This window comes from Homo sapiens, chromosome 20 (assembly GCF_000001405.40).
Source record: "Homo sapiens chromosome 20, GRCh38.p14 Primary Assembly".
In the NCBI taxonomy this organism is placed as follows: Eukaryota; Metazoa; Chordata; class Mammalia; order Primates; family Hominidae; genus Homo; species Homo sapiens.
Window position 1 is genome coordinate 38,047,438 of NC_000020.11, and position 17,420 is coordinate 38,064,857.

Genomic DNA, 17,420 nt, shown 5'->3' on the forward strand with positions numbered 1-17,420 from the left:
AGCCATTTAACTTAGATACTAAGATGTCGAGGTATCCCTTCTTGTTTAAAGTCATTCAGTATAAGATCGTTGCCATTTAAACCCCCTCACAAAACAGAAGATTTCATGGTAACAGTGCATGGTGACTGAATTCACTTTGCTTTCAGAAAGTCTAACCCAATCTTCTGCTTGCTGTCTGAGATTTTATTGTAGGCAATTGGTTCTCAGTGAGTGCTAGTTATAGTCCTTTATATCCTGTTTCAGGAGTTAACATGTCAGGGGAAAACATTTTCTAACTTCTAATTCATATCCTTTGATATAAATTATGAAGGACTGCATTATTAAGTGTGTTCTAAGATTATCAGATACCTTTGTGTGAACCTGGACTATGGACTTAGCCCAGAATTAAAATAATTATGCAGTGGTTAGAACTGGAATGATTCTTGACATATACATGTATGTGATTGTGTTTATACATGTAGAGGTGTTGGTGTGTTAGAATTGATGAGTTGCAGTGAATTTATTTCCTGTTTTAAACATCTGGTTTTTTAAAATCATTTTTCTATCTTTAAGAGTTCTGATCCACTTTTAATTTCCAGCAGAATGTCTGGCATTTTAATTAACGTCTTCTTAAAAAGCAAGCTATCACAACTGATAAGATGGAGTTTTGATAATTTTCTGTCTGTAAAAATTGGCCATTGACTTTTGGTCCTATTTGATTTCAATTATGGCATGATCCCTCCCACTGCACGAAGAATGTAGTTTGTGGTCAAGTTTTGGGTATCCAGGTATTACAATATGTACCTTATTTGGTTTTAAATGTGTAAATCATTTAGTCAGTTGTTGATTTCTTTTTTTTTTAAGTAGGTCTGTCCTAATTAAAAGCAAAAAATCTTAAGCTTATATATATCTTTTCATCTTTTCTGGGCAGAGAGGCAGATGAAGGCTGTAAAAAACCTTTAGAAAGATTGCTGAACATCTGGCAAGAACGAAGTGTGTATGGCGGCGAGTTCATACAGCAGCTGAAGCTGTCTATGGAGGACTCCAAGAGCCCTCCCCCCAAAGGTAGAAACATCACCACATGTTTACAGCTCTTGGTCTTTGCCTACTTTCGAATCAAATATGAAAAGCTGCAGTGGGGTTTGCTGTGAACCACCAGCGATTTTATGATTCTTCAGAGAGACAGATGATCATGAATGATGGTGAGAATTTATGTAGTGCTCACAGCGTGTAAGCCTGGTTCTAGTATTCATGCTATTCATCCTCTCACACCCTGACTTTTGCTCTCTGTTCTCCTTGGCTTGCTTCTGTCTTTCAGAGACTTTCCTTGCACAAGGAAAGGAACAACAAAGTTGTTCAGAGTTGTGGTGAACTAGGAAGTAGCCTGGACTAAGATTTTGTCCTTGCTCTGCCATTAACTACAATAGGACCTTGGATAAGTTTCTTAGCTTTTTAAGAACTTGATTTAATTAAATGTAGATGTGCTTTTGAAACATATCCTTAGGATTGTCAGCATGGTGTCTGTCTAAAGTTGATTGTTTGTTTGTTTTGGAGACAGAGTCTCACCCTGTCATCCAGGCTGGAGTGCAGTGGCGTGATCTCGGCTCACTGCAACCTCCGCCTCCTGGGTTCGAGCCATTCTCCTGCCCCAGCCTCCTGAGTAGCTGAGATTCAGGCACCTGCCACAACACCCGGCTAATTTTTGTATTTTTAGAAGAGACGGGGTTTCACCATGTTTGCCAGGCTGGTCTCAAACTCCTGACCTCAAGTGATCTGCCCGCCTCGGCCTCCCAAAGTGCTGGATTACAGGTGTGAGTCACTGCGCCCAGCTTAAAACTGATTTTGATCTTTACTGAACCCAGGATATCTTTAGGAAGTGCATCTGTGTGTGAATTTTGCAAAGCCCTTAATAAGAGCTTATATTATTTTTTCTTTTTTCTTTCTTTTTTTCTTTTTTTTTTTTTTTTTTTTTGAGACAGAGTCTTGCTTTGTTACCTGGGCTGGAGTGCGGTGGTATGATCTCAGCTCACTGCAACCTCCGCCTCCCGGGTTCAAGCAGTTCTTTGCCTCAGCCTCCCGAGTAGCTGGAATTACAGGCACCTGCCACCATGCCCAGCTAATTTTTGTATTTTTGGTAGAGACAGGGTTTCACCATCTTGGCCAGGCTGGTCTTGAACTCCTGACCTCGTGATCCACCCGCCTCAGCCTCCCAAAGTGCTGATATTATAGGCGTGAGCCACCTCACCTGGCCTATTTTTTTCTTTAAAGAGTAAGATCAAATGTTGTTTAGTTACTTGGCTTCTGGTTAGTTGTGGTTTAATTCTAGTTGGCATGACATGTTTCTTAGCTACAGATCTGATCTGCCTGCATACATGTTTCCTGGAGGATCGAGTCCAAGTACTGATAGTATTGAAGACCCTTTCTATCTGAACTAGCCTGTTTTTCCAGATTCTTCTCCTGCCACTTCCTCACTTACACTGTATTCTTTGGCCAAACTGAATTGCCGACAGTTTACCCTCTGGATGCTCTGTTGGCACTGCTTCCTTTCCATCTGCTGTTACCTCTACTTGATGTCCTTCTACCGCTTTCACTGTGTGATGAACTCATTCTCCAAGAATGCAACTCTCATTCTGACATCTTCCCTGGCTTGTCTGGGCCCATGTGGTCATTCCCTCCTTGTTCTCTGGTACTTTATACATGCATCTGCTATAGAACCTAGTCATGATTAGCATGTGTGACAGTATCCTTCACTGAGTAACCCTTTTGTGTACCCTTCATGATCCTTTCCAGGTCTGGAATTATTTGCATTTTGCAGTGGGTAACTTTCCTGTGAAACCAAAGGTTAGAGGCTTTCTGTGAATGACATAAGTGCTTTCAGACTGCAGGTCATTGTTGTTTTACTTGGTGTTGCTAGAAGATAATTTTAGGATCACTCAGGTGATTGGTAGCTTCTGAAAAGCAAGATGTTTCCTGCTTTGGATTCTGGTGTTTTTATTGTGTCCTTTGGAGGTCTTCAGTACAGCTTTGGGGAATTACTCAGCATTCTTTACTCTGCCTTAGAGTTCATTGGTAAACAGTGCTGGTTTTTAAGAACACCTTTGGGCAAGTAGGAGAGCCTTGAAAGAGGATGTTTGAAGCTAATGTTGAATTTCAATTTAATGTACATTTGCTGGACACATACTTTGAATAAACAGATATGCTAGATGCTATAGGAAAGAGGGAGAAAAGAGTGAGGAATAGGTTTGCACTCTGGGAATGTGTGGAATTTGTGGCAGTGATAGTATTGGGAATAGCTTCAGTGGGTTTCTGATTTTTTTTTGAAAGTCTAGACAGACATTAACAATAATAGAGGCAGTTTCCTCTAGGTAGAGGATAATGCTAATCTAAAGATAATTTCTCTTTCTCTATTCTATAAAGATGAAAACACACATCAAAAGATTTCAACATGTGTGTTAGTCCCAGCTGACTCACTCTGTCTTCACTCTCTGGACCTGAGTTATCAGAATATTTTACCACAGTCCTTTCAAATGTTGATGAGTTCTCGAGAAGTTTATTTCCAAATTTGAGTAGTCCTTTTATATTCCAGCTTTGATTCATGGGTAATTCTTTGTCTTCAGGCAACTTCATGGAGTTTACCTCTGAAATAAAAATTTTTCTATGGAACTTTGACAGTTCTTACAACATTAGAGAATGCATGAGCTTAGGAATTCTGTTTTAGAACTGGGTATTAAGTTTATAAACCTGTCTCTCAAGGTGTTCTAAAGGTGTCTCTCAAAACATCACACTGTACCCTATAAATATATACAATTATTATTTGTCACTTAAAAACAAAATTTAAAAAGTAAGAAAAGGAGAAAAGTTCTCTACTCTTGAGAATACTCAAGGTGTTGCTTGACTGAATGGAACTTTTTTATTTGAGCCACATGTGACTCATGTAGTATACGGTTGTAGAAGGATTTAGAGAGAGAGGGTAGATACAAAGGGACTAGCATTTATTGAGCATCCGTTATGTACCAGCCTCTGCTGGCTGCTTTTCATATTAATTTGTTTTAGATCCTTACAACTACTCTGTGAATTTGGTATTATTTTCATACTTTAGATGAGGATACTGGCTCAAAAAGGTATAGTAATTTTGTTCAGAGAGAGATAATTGGTAAGTGGCGAATTCCCAGGTCTATACGACTTTAAAGCTGATATTCTTCACACTGTCGTATTTCCTGAAAGCACACGGTTTCAATATTGGTAGGAATTTTGGTAGGAATTTGTGAGTAGGTTACCCAGCTTTCCTGGATCTTAATATAGTTTAGCTATTCAGGCTTCCACAGTATGAATCCTAGCTGTCATTTCTTTTTTGAGATGAAGTCTTGCTCTGTCGCCCAGGCTGGAGTGCAATGGCGGGACCTCGGCTCACCGCAACCTCTGCCTCCCAGGTTCAAGTGATTCTCCTGCCTCAGCCTTCCAAGTAGCTGGGATTACAGGCATGTGCCACCACGCCTGGCTAATTTTGTATTTTTAGTAGAGATGGGGTTTCTCCATGTTGGTCAGGCTGGTCCCGAACTCCCAACCTCAGGTGATCCGCCCACCTCGGCCTCCCAAAATGGCAGGATTACAGGCATGAGCCACCACACCCGGCCCCTAGCTGTCATTTCTAAAGCTCTGTGACCTTGGCCATGGCATTTGATCCTTCTGAAGCTCAGATCCTCACTGTACAATATGGCTATTAATGGTAATACCTTCTAGGATAGTGATGAGGATTACTTGAGATAATGCAGGTAAGATATTATCAGTGGGGCAATGATACGAGTTTTGTTTGCCCCTGCCAGTTCTAGTATCTAATGTGCTGAGTTTCTATATATGAACTGGTCGCAAAAGTAAGAAGAGGTTTTTAATATTTTCAGTCCCCCAGTTTTTGTGCGAGGCTGGAGAACATGGTAGCTAAGAGTATGAGTTCTAGGCACAACTTCCCTGGGTTTATGCCTGGATTTGGCTACTCAGTTCAGTGAGATGATAAGGGTAGACAGCTTGTAGAACTGTGCCTCAAATGTTAGACCTTTATCTGTTGTAGGTTCTTTTCTCTCCACAAGTAAAGTTTAATGTGCCTTATTAAAATGTCCTTTATTATGCAGGGATGGAGCAAAGAATGAGGGAGCTGTTGCAAACAATATTTCCTGATCCTTTTCTCATTATAAAAGTAATATAAAGTCTATAGGTGTGGTTTTTTTTGTTGTTGTTAACTAGTCAATTGAAGCAGTGGGAGTAGAGAAGGAACAAAAAAACCTGTAACTGATTGCGATCAATTAGTTGTAAACACTGCTGCACTCGGACCAAACGCGGTGTTTTTTTTTTTTTTTTTTTTTTTTTTTTAAATCACAGAAAATTTCAAGTGGATCCTCTAGAAGATCCAGCTTTACGGTAGATGGCTGCATATTATAATGTGATTTGGGAACCTGCAGGCCAGCTTTTTGCCTTAAGATTAGTTTCACAGTCTGCCATTGTGTCTGAAATTCTCCCACAATCAGGTTGTAAGAGGCATACCATAAACCCTTAGGTAACGAGGATTACTTAAGGTTAGCTGAGTACAAGGCCTGCTGGAGACACAGGGACAAGTTGGAGGATAGAATAGAAGGTGCCCAGTATGAGGACAGAAGGACTTTGGCTACCCCCACAGTTTGTCCTGCCTGTAAACAGAGTGGTTGAGTGAGTGAAAAAGGGAGAGTAAATATATACCGTGGTAGAAGCTGAATTGATAGTGGAAGGCTTACCTTAAATTCAGATGTAGAAATGGAACTGACACATATTCTAGTTTTTAAAATAATTTTAATTTTTAAAAAAATGTATAGCTTTTGAAAAGGAAACCTGGAAATCCTAAGTTATTTTTAATGGCTGTCTGACTAGACTGACAATACCAGGCACTATAACTGCTGACTTCGTAGCAGTGATAGTCATTTCTGGCCTAGCACTAGCATTTTCCAAGCTCTGTGACTCCTCCCTTCAAGCGGTTTCAAACTCCGACCTGTCACCCCTTTCCTAGGTACTGCAGGGATGTAGAGGAATAAGACACAAAGTGCTCCTGTCGGAGAAGAACGCTTGCCAGTGGCCAGAGTAGCAAGGCCAGGTGCTTTAAGAGAGGCCCGAGTGCCGTGGGAGTTGGAGGCCATTTGTCATCATTAGGCTTTGAACTTAGGAGGAATCTGTAAAATCATTAGAAGCCCCTTAAGGTTTATGAATAGGGACATGATGGAGTGAGCACTCCGCTTTAGGAAGATTAATTTAATAACAGAATACAGTCTTCCATATTTACAGGTTCCACATCTGTGGATGCAACCAGCTACATATTGAATATATTTTGGGTAAAAATAATACATATTTTAAAAATGAAATGGTGTGACAATTATTTACATATCATGTGTACATTGTATTAGGTACTATAATCTAGACACAAAGTATACGGAAGGATGTGTGCGTAAGTTATATATAAATACCATGCCATTTTGTAAGGGATCTTGAGTATCCCTAGATTTTGATATCCGTAGCGGTCCTGGAACCAATCCCCCATGGATACTGAGGGACAACTGTATAGTCTAACTTGGGAAAGGAGCAACTAGAGGCGGGGAGACAGTGGTCTCAACCAGCTGTGACAAAGGGCAGATTGCTGATAAGAGGCTGTGTAGGTGAAGGAGCAAAGGGAGGGAGTATGTAAGGCATCAGTCTGAGGTATGGAATCTGCTAGAAACTGGGACCTTGGGATAGATTCTAATGGTTTCCAAGGCCTTGTACCTGGAAGACAGGTCAGTGAAAGTGTTCGTAATGGAAATAGGTAGCTCAGGGAATGAGGAGCCCTGTGGGGGAAATGATTAGTAATTCATGTCCAGAAATCTTATGTTTGTAGCACCAGTAGGTCCTCCAAATGGAAATAGGAGGAAACTGGAAAAATAGGGTAATGGTTAACACCTATTGTGCCCTCTGCCAGCAGGATGGCAAAGGACATAAGTTGTCCTAAAATGATTTCTTATTTTAAGTCTTGTAATGCTGTTCGTGAGCAACAGTGTGAAGTGGTAAAGATAACTCCAGATAATGAGGCTTTGATCTGTAGCACCCAGATTTACACTAACAAACTCTCTGACTTTGGGCAGACTGCAACCTGTGGACTTAGATATTTTCATGAAAATTTGAGTTGGGGGAAACAAAGGCATGGGTCTGTCTAAGTCCTCCCAGTGCCAAAATTCAGGAATTCTAAGTGTCGAGGTAGTGTTTGATGTTTATATATAATAATTTCTGTGTGAGAGTTTGAAAACGGAAGGATTTCAAGTTTTGTAATTTTTTTCTACCTTCTTTAGCATATCTAATAGTTACTTACTGAGTGCTCTTCTAGGTGCTTGAAAGCAAACAGAACAGTATAAAAAATTTTGAAGTTTGTACTTACCTTCTAATGGCCACTCCTTCCACATGACCACTTTGATGCCACAGTGGCTAAGTGTCTGCATGGGTCATATAGCACACATTAATTAGGCAGCTACTATGTACAAAGTACTGTTAGGTGTTTCTTATGTAAATTTTATCCTAATAGATTTTTCATATTAAAAATATAGCAATCTTTGCTTTGCATAGTAGTGCAGGACTATAACCATGATTGTGCAAGCTGAACCCATGCAAAGCAATCTTTATAATCAGTGGGGAAAATTATGATTGTTCTGTGACTTTTAAAATTTTTTTTGTCAAAGAATTAAAAACTCATTGTTGATTCCAAATGTGTACGGAAACAAAAGAGATAATAAACTAATAGTTATTTAATATGCTGTAACAACAAATTAGAAACATTGAGAATTAAAGTGTGTTTTCTTTGTAACAAACTTATCAAGAGTAGTTTGAACAAGGGTTGCCTTCTTCTGGTATAATTTAGATACATATCAGAGCAAACATCTTTTCTGTGGCTTTGCAAGTTGTCATACTGTATTTTGTTTGGATCAGCTTCCAACATTTTATCTTTTATGCTTTCAGTATTGTAAAATACCTCTCAGTTTCTTTAGCATGCAGTTTTTTTTTTTTGTTAGCGTCTCTTCCTCTAGGACGTTGTCATTCTTTTCATCACTCCCACTTTCTTCATTGCTAAGTTGGCCTCTACACATTCCTCTGGCCATGGATCTAGGCTCCCTCTGATGCTGGCAGTGGCAGCATCCTGCAGCGTGCTCTTTCTTCTGTAACTCCACTAATATGCCATTGGGATTTCAGTTCCGGCATTAGCTTTTGTTTCAGTTTCTTTGTTCCACATTTGTCTTTATGATCAATACCCTCTTCTGATCGTTCATTTTTATAAAATGTCGTGGGTGTTATCACTGGGCGATAAGGAGACAGCACAGCGAAGCACTTTGCTGTCTTTGTGTGACCTGCATAACAGGTGTTCAGTGACCAATCACTGATTGACTTCAAGAATGATGTGATTGGTCCCTGATCATGATTTGGGGGCTGAAGTTAGCAGCAAAATTTGTACTTTATGCAACTACTCAAGAGTTAATATGCCATGGTAACTGAAGTTTGAACTTGTTTTATTGAGGGACTGGTGTCATTTAACGAAGCCATGGTAACAAATCTGTGTATAATAGTATGCGCAAAGTGAGGACGGCCTGTATTGCAGATGTTCCTGTCTCCTTTTTTTGTAATAGACAGAATCATTAAGAAGAAGTGAAACTTGGCCAGGCGTGATGGCTCACACCTGTAATCCCAGGACTTTGGGAGACCAAGGCGGGTGGGTCACTGGAGGCCAGGAGTTCGAGACCAGCCTGGCCAACATGGTGAATGAAACCCTGACTCTACTAAAAATACAAAAATTAGCCAGGCATGGGGGCAAATGCCTGTAATCCCAGCTACTCAGGAGGCTGAGGTGGGAGAATTGCTGGAACCCAGGAGGCGGAAGTTGCAGTGAGCTGAGAATGTGTCACTGCACTCCAGCCTGGGCAAGAGAGCAAAAACTCCATCTAAAAAAAAAAAATAAAAATAAAACTCATGATATTGACCTGGCTTTCACTTCAAACGTGAGTTTGGTCAGTTAGTATATGATGTATATAATGTAGAGAACAGGAGCTACGTGACTTGTTTCCAGAAGAAAATGTGTAAGCAAAAAATGTGTATGTATCTGCAGCAGGTGCCTGGTGTCCCCTTTTTTCTAAATGAGAGGGTACCTGTGTGGTGCTAAGTAATTTGAGTGCAGTGGAAAGAGGACAGGTTTTGGAGTCATACCGTAAGTGTGTCATTTAACCTCCCTGGCCTTTGTTTTCTCACCTTTCAGCTGGAGATGCTGTATCTTAAAATTGTTGGAAAGATTAAAAGGAAACTATTGCAATGCCAGGCACAGGCTGTGTCCAATATTTCTTTACTTTCGAAACTAGAATTTATCATTTAGATTTATTTCCCACAATTGTTTGGCATTTATTTTGTATTGTCTAATTTGATGCAAAAAGAATGATTTTGGAATTAACACATCTATCATAACAATGTAAAAACATACGGTGCAGATAGATCATAAATAATGTAACCTGTCAGCCTCAAAAGTGGTTAAATTTAAAATGGTAACTTAAGTAATTTTTCTCAGTAGTATCAATCACATGTCTCAGTAATGGTTATTTTAATTTTAAGGTAAAATTAGATTTATTTTATTTTTAGGGGAATAGTGTAAAGAATATTTGTGTTTGACACAATTTTATTGATAAAATTTTCTCTCCTGTTTTCTGAAATGATCCCTGGAAAGCATAACGTATCTCATTTTATACACAATATCTTCTCTGTAAACCCTAGCACACGTTGGTTTGCTTCATTGTATTGTCCCATGAGTTTCTTACTCAAGTGTGATAGTTGGGTAAGTTTTCGCTTTAGATGCCTGTTTTCTGTAGTATTTTACCAGAGAATCAATCTGAGATGACGGACAAAGACCTGTTTGACTCTTTTCAGTAATGTAGGGAACTACAGTCAATTTAAAATAACTAGCATAAAGGTTACTATTAAGCCATTCTGAAAATGTGTGCCCCTTCTGCCCTGTTTTTACATGTGGCCCATTGTGCATAGCATGTGACTTATCACTACAGGATATGTGACTCAAATTTATTACTTTCTCTTTTGTCTAGCAACAGAAGAGAAGAAATCTCTGAAACGAACTTTTCAGCAAATTCAGGAGGAGGAGGATGACGACTACCCTGGCAGCTACTCTCCTCAGGATCCTTCTGCAGGACCCCTCTTGGTAGGTCTTGACCCCCAGAGAGTAGGGAACAGTGGCTTAAAGTGACCTCTAGTTGAAGACTATGGCCACAAGGTGGCGCCAGTGACCACTGGTATGGAATCATCAGAGGGCACCTCTCAGGGGCCCCGTGCATCATCCTGCCCAAAGGAGCTTGCCGGATGGCAGGTGTCAGTATGTCTTTGCGTGCCATAACTCTGGGATGGGCTTATGTTTTATAAAGTACTTGGACTTGGTTTTTTCAATCCTAGAAATTAAGAATATTCTTTAAAAATAGATTTTGGAGAAAGGGATAGATAATATTACAAAGATATTCAAAAGTCGTCTACCATGGCCTGTCTCCAGTAGCATGGTAGTTTTATAAAGTAACTCATTAATATCTAAAGACAGTCTATGTGTCAATAGCAAATTTGCTGCACTGTAGCCTATTAAATATTGAAACAAGGAGTTAGTCTTTACCCATGTGTTTGTGTTATTTGGCTATACAGGTTAGCTTACAAAATCTAAATGAAAGAAGTTGGGCACAAGGTGACAGTTTAAGTAACTTGACCAGTGTCTTAATTTAAATCCAGGTGTGTCTGACTTCAGAGCCCATGCTCTTTTCAAGGCGGGGGCGGGGGGGGCTTCATCTTATTTTGCCTAAAACAGCTTTATTACACATGGTCATGCTTAAAGCCTATGTAAATAGGAAACATGTCTAGTTTGTGTTATGTTACGGTGTTGAGTTAGACTAGGGATTAAATGACAGCAGTGTTAGGTCATATATCTTTGGATTTAAACACTTTAAAGACTACAGCCTAGATTATTACCTTTCAGGGTAATCTAACTACCATCTACAGAGCTAGCTACTCCTTGGTGATTATGGAGTGGCCTGTTAGCATTGTTTTCTGACAATTTAAGAAACTCCTTTTTGATATATACAGAAAATGTATCCCTGGTTTACTTTTCTTGTTTTTTCCCCCTGGGTTTATAATAAGTTTGATACATTTAATTTTGGGAGTGACATCCATTTTGTCAAGAAAACCCAAGAAAGAATTGAAGTAGGTTGATCAGTCAACATATAATTTTTTCCTTCTCCTTCTTGAGACAGGATCTTGCTCTGTTACCCAGGCTGGCGTGCAGTAGCATGATCATAGTTCACTGCAAACTCAACCTCTGGGGCTCAAGTGATACTCCTACCTCAGCCTCCCAAGTAGCTGGGACTATAGACATATGCCACCATGCTTGGCTTATTATTTTATTTTAATTTTTTTGTAGAGACAGGGTGTCGCTATATTGTCCAGGCTGGTCTCGAACTCCTGGGCTCAAGTGATCCTCCTGCCTTGGCTTCCCAAAGTGCTAGGATTACAGGTGCGAGCCACCACACCTGGCCACAACACACAGTTGTTAACATCTGATATTTATACCTTTATTCTATACTGGAAATGATACATCATTTGAAATTAAGCAACATGAACCAAACTCCATTGTTTTGAATTGCCAAAAACATGTTCTTTTAGAATTAAAAAATAATAATAATTATTCAGAATTTCATTCATGTTCTGCCATGGACTTAGATAAACTAATTTTGTGGATTTTCTTAGAGTCCGTGACATTGACTTACATGTAAGCTCTGGGGCTAAGAACAGTTTTTTTTAAGAAATGGCAGGAATGACTGTTTTTAGAATTTGCCTCCACCTCATTTAACTCCAACTAATTTTCTTTAAACCCCATGTCTTAATGGGTAGTGTTGTTTGTGTTTTCATCTTACAGACTGAGGAACTAATCAAAGCTTTGCAGGATCTGGAAAATGCCGCATCAGGGGATGCTACTGTCCGACAGAAAATTGCTTCTCTGCCCCAGGAAGTGCAAGATGTTTCTCTATTGGAAAAAATAACAGGTGAGAAGGTAGAGTTTGGGTGAAAGGTGAGGAGAGAGGGACATAACTGTAATGCAGTAACCCTAGGCCATACTTAACGTCTGCAGGTATAGACTACTTTCCATGTTGTATTGGTTGCTCTACCATCTTGGGATTTGCAAACATAACTCACATGGTGAACAAAGAAACTTTTGAAATAGTCAAAGCTTGAATAGTGATTCTAGGAATTATTGCAGAAATGCTGGTGTGCCACAACCTGTGGCTCTCTAAATAAGGTCTGTTAAAAACATAGTACAAATTGTGTGCGTGTGGGGTGGGTGGGGGAGATTAGGTATTATTCTGTCTGTTAGACTCATAACCCTCTTACTAAAAGAAAAAAAATTATGATTCAGGGCTGTGTGATTTGTGCCCTGCTCTCTGACAAGCCCCGTAGATGATAGTGCGTTCAGTGCCAGGAATTTCAGGTGTCTGTTAGACATGTCATTTTGCCCTAGTCGTGACCTCCCTAGTTAAACAGGGAGGGGCAGTTGACACGATTCCTGCTTTCCTTATGGGAAATTGAAAGGAAGGAATGAAGCATGAACTAATATTGACAGTAGGCTTTGCACCGGTACTTCTGTTCTTTGTGATAGTCTTTGGAGGTGACTAAATGTGTGTCTCCATATTGCATAGGAGGACATTGAGGCTTTGAGAAGATAGGTGTCTTGTCCAAGGTCACACAAGTAGTGGATCTTGGGATTCTAATCTAGGCTGCAAAGCCTATGTTCCTCCCCTTACAAAAGCTCAGACCTTTCATTCCATTGTCTTCCAAAGGCCACCATTTTCCCACTCCAGTCCCTTGACTTGGCTGCTTCTCTAACTTCTTCCATATCTATCTAAAGGAAATCAAGGTCACTGATGAAATATTTCCCTCAACAAATATTTGAGGCCCACCTATATCCCCTCAAGTGAAGTGTCAAGAAGGAAAATAAAGCAGGGCAGTGGGAGCGGAAAATGATTGCAGGCGGTATTAATGGTATTTTAAAGGTGTTTGGGGAAAGCCTTTCTGATGAGATGACCTTGAGCAGAGACCCGAAAAATTAGGAAGCAAGCCATGAGGATATCCAAGGGAAGGAAGGGCCACCAGGCAGTGGAAGCAGCACAGGGAAAGACCTCAGGCAGTGGGCGTACTGGGTTGGAGAACACAGCTCGGAGGCCTTGTGAGTCACGCAAGAAGCATCTCAGCCCCTCACTCTGCTTTCCCACCCCAGGAATTCACCCCACTGGGACCTGCAGTCTCTTGATTCCTCCCCCACCTCTTCCTAGTCCTCGAGTCCTCATTTTCTTCTTTATTCAGATTGGAGTCTCTCTTTTCACTTCCTCACACACACCTTCAACCCATTTTCTTCTCTTTCTCCCTTCAGTGTAGTCTCCTGGCAAAATCCCTAAACAGGTTAAATCACATTTTAAAAATACTTACTACTAAAAGGACCACTTCATTTATTCTTACTGTCAAAATCATAATCTGCAAAAATTGCAAGCAAGTTAATGTAAAGCTAGCCATGTATGTAATTTTGTTTCTCTGTTTCACTGACCTAAAGGTCTCATGTAGCTTCCTTTTAAAATACTTTTTTAATTTTGATTTTTAATTGTGGTAAAATACATATAAAATGGTAAGCTACATAAAACACAAAGGTGTACAATTTAGTTGTGCTAAGTATTCTCATGTTGTTATACAACCAGTTTCCAGAGTTCTTTTCGTCTTGCCAAACTGAAACTCTATACCCGTTAAACAATAACTCATCATTTTTCACTTCCCATATCACCTGGCAACCACCATTCTTAAATTTAGCTTTTTGTCTGTTCCTTTCCCGAACCTGTGTAGTGGAATGTGGCTGGGAAAAACTAACATGTCTGAGTTGACTTTTCCTCCTATTTCTCTACATGGACATGCTATTTTCTAAACCCGCCTCTCTGTGTATTAGATCTGCTCCTTCTCATCTAGCCAAGGCCATTGCTCCAACAATGCTCCCTCTTTCTCCTGCATTCTCCATTTTTTACTCTTTACTGGATCATTCTCAATAGCATAAAAACATGAATTTTTCCCCCACTTGGGAAGATTTTTTTCTTGACCTCATATCTTCCTCTAGCTACTGCCTCATTTCTCTGTTCTTTTTAGCCAAACCACCTGAATGGATTGCCTGTGCTGTCTCTCTACTTCCCGTCCTCCCAGTTGCTGATGACTTCCTTGTTGCTGAACTCAATGGTGGATTCTCTGCCCCCATCTTAACTTCACCCCAGTAGTATTTGGCCCAGTAGATTATTTCTTCTTCCTGAAAATACTTTCTTCACTTGGTGTAGTAGTTGGAATAATGCCTCCTGACCCCCCACCCCGCAAACACCCATGTTTTAATCCACAGAACCTGTGTATATGTAATCTTATATGGCCAAGGGACTTGGCAGGTGTGATTAAATATCTTGAGATGAGGAGATTACCCTGGATTATTTAAGAGGGCCCAGTGTAATCACAGGGTCCTTGTAAGAGGAAGGTGGGAGAGGGGGAATGAGAAGGAGGTATTACCGTGGAAGCAGAGGTTGGAGCGATGTGCTTTGAAGATGGAGGAAGCAACTGTGATAAGGCATAAGATAATTAATTGGTGATATTCCAAGCCACTAAATTTGTGGTAATTTGCTACAGTAGCAGTGGGAACTAGGACCCTGCATTATTCTAGCTTTCCTCCTCTCTTTCTGTGTCTTTTCAGCCTCCTTGCTGGTTTCTTCACTCCTCCTTGACCTCTTCATATTAGCCCCCTTCTTTAGCTGGTTTCACTGGCAGCCATTCTCACCCAATTTCATGACTATAAATAAGAGTTTTTCTGCGAATGATTTCCTAATTTACATCTCTAGTGTTGACCCTTCCACCTTGAACTTGAGACCCATATATCCAACCTCCTACTCAGTTTTATTAGTTGGATATCTTGATAGGCATTTCAAGCTTACTCTGCCCCACACTGAACTTCTGACCTTTCCTCTAAAACTTGTTTCACTCATGGTCTTCTCCATCTCAGTAAATGGCCCTCATCATTCCTGTTGATTGGGACCAAAACCAGCATCTGATATCCTGTCACCGCCTCTACCACTGCCACCTGGTACAGGTCTCTACCATGTTCAGTTGATTTATTGCAGTAGCCTCCCAGCTGGTCTAGCTACTTCGTTTGTTCCTCTTGCTCAGCCATCATTCTAGTCTCAACATAGTAACCAGAGTGATCCTCTTAGTAGAAGGCAGATCATGTCTCCCGCTCCACATAACACCCCCACGACTCCCCCCATCACCAAATTAAAAGCCAGAGCCCCCCCCCCTTTTTTTTTTTTTTTGAGATACAGTCTCATTCTGTCACCCAGGCTGGAGTCAGTGGCATGATCTTAGCTCATTGTAACCTCAAACTCCTGGACTCAAGCAATCCTCCCATCCTGGCCTCCCAAAACACTGGGATTACAGATGTGAGCCCCCTGCCTGGCTTTAAAGCAGAGTCTTTCACTGGCCTCTGTTACCGCAAGACTTTTACTATTTTCCCCTCACTCACTGCTCAAGTCATATGGGCTCCTTGCCAGTCACTCTTTCCTCCTAGCGCCTTTGTACTTGCTGTCCCCTCTGCCTGAAACGTTCCTCCCAGATAGTTACATAGCTGGTTCTCATTTTCTTAGGCCTTTGTTTACGTATCACCTTAGCGAAGCTCACCCTGACCACCTTTTTGAAAATGTTGATCCCCCCCACCTTCCAGTGCCCCACTTTTTCTCCTCTGCCTTGTTTTTCTCTGTAGTTCTCTTCAGCTGATAAGTAAGCATAATATTTATTGTATATTGATTCTCTTCCTACCTGATAATATAAACTTGAGGGCAGAGAGTTTTTGTCCTTTTTATTCTCTGCTGTTTCTAAGAGCCTAGTTATAAGAACTCAAATTTGTTAAACTAATTGGAAGGTTTTGAGCAGAGGATTGGTGGGCATAAAGCCCGATTGGGGTGGGCTCAGGAGGAGAGCAGGTGGCTACACTTCTCTGAAAAGAGTTTAGCTGCAAGGGGGAGCAGGGAAGCAGGTCAGTAGTGGGAGAGTGGTATGTAGGTGGAATACATGGCAGCAGGTTTGTGTGCTAGTGGTTTTCTTAGGAGGGAGAGAGAGAATTTGCTGAGGTAGAGAAGACATGGGACGGCTGCAGAAGTTTAGTCTTTGAGGAAACGAGGGAATGGGATGCGCATGCCGCTTGGAGGACTGGCCGAAAGAGGCACTTGCCACTCCTCTGATGGGTGAAGGAGAGCAGGGAGCGTGAGGACAGCGTGGGTAGGTCCCCCGAAGCGAGCATCTGGCTTCTGCATTTTCACTGCGTATTTGTATAACTCACTAAACTATTATAAGTTACTTTTCTGGGTTGTAATTATTTGTGTAAATGAATTATTTCCTTTGTAAAAGTTCTTGAGGCTGCAAATTGATTTTCTTTTTAATCTTAAAAATTAGTATTTGCCATTTTTTGCCACAGGCACCTAAACATCTTAGTGAATTAACCATTTTTTAAAAACGATCAGTCAAGCAATAACAAAACTAAAACCAACCTAACCACCCCAGGAGCTTGCTCATGGACTGAGCCACTGAGCAGGAAGGAGAAGTTGGCGGTCCTTTATCCTCTGTGACTGAGGTGATCTCTTTCCTTTGTGTTCCATTCCGCTCACTTCTTCCCCTTCACCAAGGACATTCTTTGTTTCCCATCCCTGAGGAGGGTAGAGGTTCCTAATCTTTGGCATCACACCCAATCTGGAATCCTTCAGCAGTTCCTCTTGCAATATTCACATTAAGAAGGCATCGAAAAGCCAGATGGCTGTTTGCCAGAGATACTGTGTTGGGGATTCTTAAATCCTAGTTCCCCAGGAGAATGCGAGCTCTCACCTCTGACAGCCTGTATCCATAGGGAATGTCATGGAACTGTCCCACGGTACTGCCGGAGTCTCTGGTGCCCTTTGTTTCAAAGCACCAACCTACTCTTTTGATTCATTCAGGTCTTTTAAAAATGAGTTATACATATTTAAAATTCGAATCTCACCACCACCCACACATAATTAATTATATCAGTTCTTTGTAAATACAGATCCTGCTTTTTCTTCTCATTTCTTAATTATGAGCCTTTGTTCATCACTTCTTCCCAAAAATACCCTTTCTTAATGTTTTTCCACCCCCAAAGCATGAGTTACAACCCATTAATTGGATATGAAATCAGTCTGGTAGCTAATGACCAACAGTTTTTGAAAAATGGAATAAAGCCATCCTGGCTAACACAGTGAAACCTCGTCTCTACTAAAAATACAAAAAAATTAGACGGGCGTGGTGGCGGG

General features: G+C 40.7%; 1 protein-coding gene across 3 annotated transcripts in view; it reads left to right on the forward strand.

Moving 5' to 3' along the window:
* Nucleotides 1-17,420, forward strand: part of RPRD1B (regulation of nuclear pre-mRNA domain containing 1B) — a 58,619-nt gene that overhangs the window by 13,692 nt on the left and 27,507 nt on the right. Inside the window, exons 3-5 of one of the 3 annotated variants that reach the window (NM_021215.4) lie at nt 911-1,044; nt 10,095-10,207; nt 11,957-12,083. In NM_021215.4, the coding sequence (NP_067038.1) occupies nt 911-1,044; nt 10,095-10,207; nt 11,957-12,083 (374 nt within the window). Of the gene's footprint in view, nt 1-908; nt 1,182-10,094; nt 10,208-11,956; nt 12,084-17,420 lie in introns of those variants that run through there. The other 2 variants (XM_047440347.1, XM_047440346.1) reach the window with 2 other exon arrangements.